The sequence below is a fragment of the Homo sapiens genome, chromosome 5, assembly GCF_000001405.40.
Source record: "Homo sapiens chromosome 5, GRCh38.p14 Primary Assembly".
In the NCBI taxonomy this organism is placed as follows: domain Eukaryota; kingdom Metazoa; phylum Chordata; class Mammalia; order Primates; family Hominidae; genus Homo; species Homo sapiens.
This window is the reverse complement of record NC_000005.10, coordinates 45,691,008-45,697,007: the sequence shown is the minus strand read 5'-3', so window position 1 is coordinate 45,697,007 and position 6,000 is coordinate 45,691,008. Positions and strand designations below refer to the sequence as shown.

The 6,000-nt window shown below is 42.9% G+C and overlaps 1 protein-coding gene across 1 annotated transcript in view, besides 2 other annotated features; it reads left to right on the top strand.

Moving 5' to 3' along the window:
• The window catches only part of HCN1 (hyperpolarization activated cyclic nucleotide gated potassium channel 1), a 441,433-nt gene continuing 436,060 nt past the window's right edge, over nt 628–6,000 (top strand). The window contains exon 1 of the mRNA NM_021072.4: nt 628–1,339. Coding sequence (NP_066550.2) covers nt 915–1,339 — 425 coding nt within the window. The 5' untranslated portion in view covers nt 628–914. The remainder of the gene's footprint in view (nt 1,340–6,000) is intronic.
• Nucleotides 1,254–1,753: an enhancer, noted in NCBI's record as "H3K4me1 hESC enhancer chr5:45695357-45695856 (GRCh37/hg19 assembly coordinates)". NCBI's record gives its function as "activates a minimal SCP1, AML or CMV promoter by ChIP-STARR-seq in primed H9 embryonic stem cells {active_cell/tissue: H9 hESC(primed)}" and the evidence as "EXISTENCE:reporter gene assay evidence [ECO:0000049][PMID:30033119]".
• Nucleotides 1,754–2,255: an enhancer, noted in NCBI's record as "H3K4me1 hESC enhancer chr5:45694855-45695356 (GRCh37/hg19 assembly coordinates)". NCBI's record gives its function as "activates a minimal SCP1, AML or CMV promoter by ChIP-STARR-seq in primed H9 embryonic stem cells {active_cell/tissue: H9 hESC(primed)}" and the evidence as "EXISTENCE:reporter gene assay evidence [ECO:0000049][PMID:30033119]".

Here is a 6,000-nt window from a genome sequence, read left to right as displayed (position 1 = left end):
GAAAGAAATCCCGTCCTCTGTTTAAAAAACTCTGCAAGAATTAACAAGGATAAGTGTAAGGAGGTCAGTTGTCTGTCCCCAGGTGCAGAACCTTAATCTGAAAAGCCCCAAGCAGCTGGTTACCTAGGATTACACAGACCTGGTAGCTTTTGCCCTCTGCCTCTCTTTCTAGTACACACGCGCACGCGCACGCACAGGCACACTTTCCCTGATACTTTGGACATTTATTTTCCATTGTCAAACTTTACTTTCTTTTGGACATTTGGTTTTGCACTTGAATTGTTGGCATGCATAGTCAGCTTGTCCCCTTTTCTCCATCTGTAACGTTATTCAAACAGGCGTTCAGACAATGTCTTCATGAGTTTAAGATGTTTGTTTCTTTTGGACCAACACACACTCGCTAGTTCAGTCTTGCTCTCTCTCCTCTCTCCCCTGTCTTTCATGCAAACATACACCGAGTCCTTCTCCACGTGTACCAATGAATGTCTCCTCCGAGGGCTCTTGAGTTCAATGTCACGCTGGGCAGAAGTAGAGCAAGAGTAACGAGCATGTGTGGAGAGCGGACGGGGAGAGACCCTTTCTGGCCAACAGAGGGCAGCCGAGGGGAGGCGCTGGGGCGCGAGGGCTGAGCCGAGCTGAGCCTCGCCTAGCTCCGGCAGCCTCAGCTTCAGCACCAGCCGCACCGGAGCCCGGACCGCAGCCACTAAGGGCAGCGGCGGCGGCGGGAGCCAGGCGCGCAGCTAGCAGCGGCGCGGTCGGGAAGCAGCAGCCGCCGCCGCCGCCGCCGCCGCCGCGACGGGCAGCTGGGCTCGCCGGCAGCCGGCTCGGGCCCCTACCCTCTCGGCTACGTGTCTCCGGCGCCGGGCGGCCGGCGAGTCTGGAGCCCGCGCCGTCGCCGGCCGCGTCCTCCGGGCATGGAAGGAGGCGGCAAGCCCAACTCTTCGTCTAACAGCCGGGACGATGGCAACAGCGTCTTCCCCGCCAAGGCGTCCGCGACGGGCGCGGGGCCGGCCGCGGCCGAGAAGCGCCTGGGCACCCCGCCGGGGGGCGGCGGGGCCGGCGCGAAGGAGCACGGCAACTCCGTGTGCTTCAAGGTGGACGGCGGTGGCGGCGGTGGCGGCGGCGGCGGCGGCGGCGAGGAGCCGGCGGGGGGCTTCGAAGACGCCGAGGGGCCCCGGCGGCAGTACGGCTTCATGCAGAGGCAGTTCACCTCCATGCTGCAGCCCGGGGTCAACAAATTCTCCCTCCGCATGTTTGGGAGCCAGAAGGCGGTGGAAAAGGAGCAGGAAAGGGTTAAAACTGCAGGCTTCTGGATTATCCACCCTTACAGTGATTTCAGGTGAGGGCTCCCGGTCGCCGCCCCACCCTCCCTTCAGGCGCGCCCTGAAACGCGCTTCCCCGCCCTTGGGTGGGGGGCGTCCCGGGGACTAGGAGGGCGGGCGGGGGGTGGCGCTGCCGGCGGCGTCGGCTCGGGCTAAGCAGGCTCCACTCGGCGCCTCCGGGTAGTTTCCACCCAGGAGGGGCTCGGAGGATGTGCTCCTGTTGCCCGGGAATCCCGGACGGGCTCTCCTCCTTGGCCTCCTGAACTTCGGGGACAGATCAGGGAAGGATGGAGGCCACGGTCACCCTCCTGGGAGGAGGCGAAGTTGTACAAGGGAAACTTTTACTTCAGAGACGAGAGCGTGAGGAAGCGGGAAGCCACCCTTCCTCGCGCGGCTCCCTCAAGTGTGGTCTCAACCAGGAGGGAAAAGGAGGCTTCTGGGGCTCAGAAGAAGACTGGGTAACCGGAGACAGCGATTCACAAGCCCGAGCAGTTCCTGCCGCGCTCGCCCCTGGGGAGTGTGTTTAGTCTGTTTTTCTTTATAGGCGCTGGTTATCCTCGCTGTGTTTACTCAGAAACAGCGGCCGGCAGGCAAAAGAAGGGCAATTTGCACTTGGATAGTCCCTGACGTGAGGTCTCACCAAAGCCAGGCGCTTCCAGGCAGGGCAGGAGCGTGGCAGGAAGCCTCTAGTTCCTGAAACAGAGAGAGGGGGCGTTGACAGAGCCCCTTTCTGAAATAGAGCGGCACCCTTTCTTGACCTTGACTGCAAGTCTATTTCAAAAATCTTTTTCACGTCCTCCAGCTCGGGAAGAAGGACAGGAAAGCTGTCAGCAGGAAAACTCCGCTTTGGAGAATTAAAATTAAGACGTTTTCTGATCTTACTTGTCGCTCAAGTATTCGTTCGGTGATAAGCATATTTAGAGATTGTCAAATGAAGGTCGTGTAGTAGATCCTCTTATTAGCGTGTGCACGATTATCTTAGCTCCTGAACAAGGCTGGACTTCCCATTTTAAAATCCAGAACTAGTAACTCCTAATAACTCAGGGTGATATTTATTTATTTGGCCGAACTCGTTCGAAAAGAAAAGAAGAATCAACTAAAGGAGTATGTGCATATACTAAGTATTCTTTATAGGATAAATATAGCAATGTAAAGCAGCCTTGGAGTTAGTTTAGAAACTAAGGGAAATTGTCACCAACTACATGCCTTAACGGGAGCTGTCCACAGTTCTGAATGACATTAGCTGTGAAAAATCCACAGTCCCGCCACACAAAGGCTCAGAGTGACGGTCTTTGCCTTCTTTGAGATATTTATCGTCTCAGAAATCAGTAGCCTCCGTGATCTATGCAAAGAGTGAATGGATTTTAGAAAGTGTATAATTTTAAGGTACTTATTTGTAAAAACACACAGCAAAGTCCAAAGGAGAACTTATAAAACCTAATGACGTTTATAGTCTAGAGAACATTAAGAGTTTGATTGAAAGAACGTTCATTAAAAATTTTAAAAAAAAGAAAATGTTCATATTAAAAAGATGTAATAAATAATCAAACCTGTTTCCTCCAGTAGGAAGATAGGGAAGCAAACTTATAAATGACCCTGTTCTAAGATGTATAAGGTTGTCATGTTCTTTAGAATTTTAAAGGTGGGAATCAAGTATAGAATATTATCTTTTCCTCAGTCCCCAATGGAAATATATTTCACCTCATTTTAAAATTTTTAAATGAAAATAACTTACATGAAAAAAGTCTCCAGTCTTAATAGCAAAAATAAATGTGGTATTTCCAGAAATGTACCAGGTTCAATATTAACATGCAAAAATGCTGAACTTTTAACATTTAATTTCACTCAATAAAATGATTACATATGATGCTTTTATTTTTTCAGCAATGTGAAAAGGACTATCCCTTATCAAAATGATACCACACATCAAGTAATTAAACTTTTTCCCACTTGCTAAATAAAAACATAGGGCCACTTTTCAGGAATTAGAATAGCATGCGAAAGTCTTTTGAATGAATGGAATTACAGGATTCTCCTTATTTTCCCAAGGAAATCTTCTGAGACAAAATATCTCTTTAATAAAAACATTGTTACTGAACAAAGGAACAAATTGAAATCAGGTGATGATTTAATTTTATTATCCATTTCAAAGAAATGGGAAATGATTAAAAACTGAGCTAATACTCTAAATTCCAGTGTGGAGTAGTTTGGAATATTTGACTTTTCCCTTGTATAAATGGAAAAAAGAAAATGGCAGGCACAAATTAAGCAATTATCATTATTTAGATCTTTTTAAACTGAAAGATATCTGAAAAAATAGATTTTAAAACATAATTACAATATACACTGGTGTTCTAAAACAAACTGCAAAAATAATCATGTACTTGTTTACATTCAGAATATATTTACATCTTATTGTTTCATTTTTTTGTATGATCTCAAAACCAATATAAGATTTTCTAAAATCTATAACGTCAAGATAATGTAATGAAAGAACAAAAATAGGAAAGACAAAATTCTAGCGGTAGTTTTTTTCTACAGGGAAAGGAATGTGTGAGTAATTTTCAACAGATACTAGAAATTTTTGCGGTCATGATCTAGCCTTTACTTTAGGCCCTTTCCTGAAGGATTATTTCAGGGAGGTGCTTTACTACAATTCCTAAAATGTCAAACTTAAGTTCATTAATCATTTAACAACTGAGTGAATGACACTTAAGAGTAATTTCTATGAAGAGTGGGGAGTTATTACAAATGAAGATATCCAGAGGATTCTTTTCCTTGACACTTTTAATAAACCTTTACATGGCCAGAGAAGTTTACTATGTTCTTACTCCAGGGCATGTCGTGACTTTAACACTGTTTCTAGTTTCCCTGCTCACGATAATTTTTAAGACTGATAGCTTTCTACTTTACTTACCTCAAGGGACAAGGCTGTGCTCCCACTGAGACTTTCAGAGAGCTAGCTAGTGCCTCTTTTCCCCACCAGAGCCCAAGAGTGCTATTGCTGTGTCTGGCAGGTAGTTTTCTCTACCCCTGGCGTAAGTAGGGCAGAGTTGCTGTATTTACCTTTTTCCTCAGCAGAGGATGACAATAGAAACCTTCAGAGAGTAAAAAGCAGTCCAATAGTATAGGTACTGTTTGAAATAACTGGGTGGAAGCTACAGAATTTAGTAAACACAACAAGCTCATGTTTTTGTTTATGCTGTGGTATATAAGCACCCAAACTAGGGAAAATAGGGATAGTTACTTAAAAACAAATGTAGCTCGATTTTTCTGTAGTGACAGTATGGTCTTAGTCTTATTGAATTTCATGTGAACAACACATAGACACATTTAATTTGGAGGTTAAATATGATTTTTAAAAATTCATGGTGATTTTATATTAATTAGCTAGAATTTTACTAAGGTTTAAAAGTGATGCTTGGCAAGCATTGTGCTTCCATAGCCAATTGATAGTTATGATATAATCATTTAAATAGGTTGAAAGAATATTTAGAATACTTTTGTGGATGATTTTTATTATGCAAGCAATTTATCTTGGAAGAATTTATCACCAGACTATTTGCCATTTTAGGGATTCTGTCATTATTTTGTTCCATCATGCTTACACAAAGGGACTTTTAAAAAGAATGCTCCTTTCCATATGTATTGCCAGCCAACATCTTGCTCCTCATAACGGAGGCAGTTTTGTATCTTGACTTCTTATTTTTTTCAATTTCTTTTCATCATTAGTATGAGTGTGTGAAAAGCTTATTTTGTTGTAAGTACTCAAGGACTCTAGAGATGGGAGTTACTTCCTGAAGATACCGTCACATCCGTTCTTCCATCTCTGCTTTGAATTGCAGCCACAACTGTACTGATATCAGAGATCACTGATGTGTTCATTAGGGAAGGGAGGCTTCACCCATATTATACAGTTCATAATAGAGAGAACATTTGCTTCCAGGAGCTTCTCACAAGAAAACAATTCAACCTTCTAGGGTTTAAAGACGAATTAGCCTACTGTTATGTTATCTTTGTGCTGAACACACTCTGTATCTGCCAGCAATGCTTATTTTATTTGCTTTTCATATCAACATAGCCAAAATTAACCATAAGAATTTATTTTTTTTCTATGTTAGGTGAACCTTTTTGTGCTTTAAGTTCAATTACATTTTTCTTAGTGGCTCTAGCAACTGTTAGACACAACATGAAATTTCTTCAAAGATTTAAACGTGTGAATTTATTTAGTTACTTTTTCTTAGTATACATGTAAGTTATGCAACTTTAAATTTTAGCAAATGTTTCACTGTTGCATTTAGTAGATATTATGATTTATACTATTAAAATATTATAAGATAGTTTTCATTTTTTTCTGAGCAACTTTCCCTTTAAACCTCCTTCGGGGTATGATTATAAATTGAGAATCAGTAAAGAGGTACACTTTACTAATCATATTTAATTATGTGGACTTGGGTTTATGAACGTGCCTGTTGAATAATGAAAGAAATTTAAATGCACTGGAAAGATATATTACTTATTATTTGTATCATAGGTTCATTTAAGAAAATTATATTCAACTATATCTGCTTGATCAAAAACCACAAACCAAAACAACATCACCACCACAAAGCAAGATAAATAGTATTTGTAATTCTGCATTATTATACTCAATGCACCTATGTCCTATAGTGAGCAG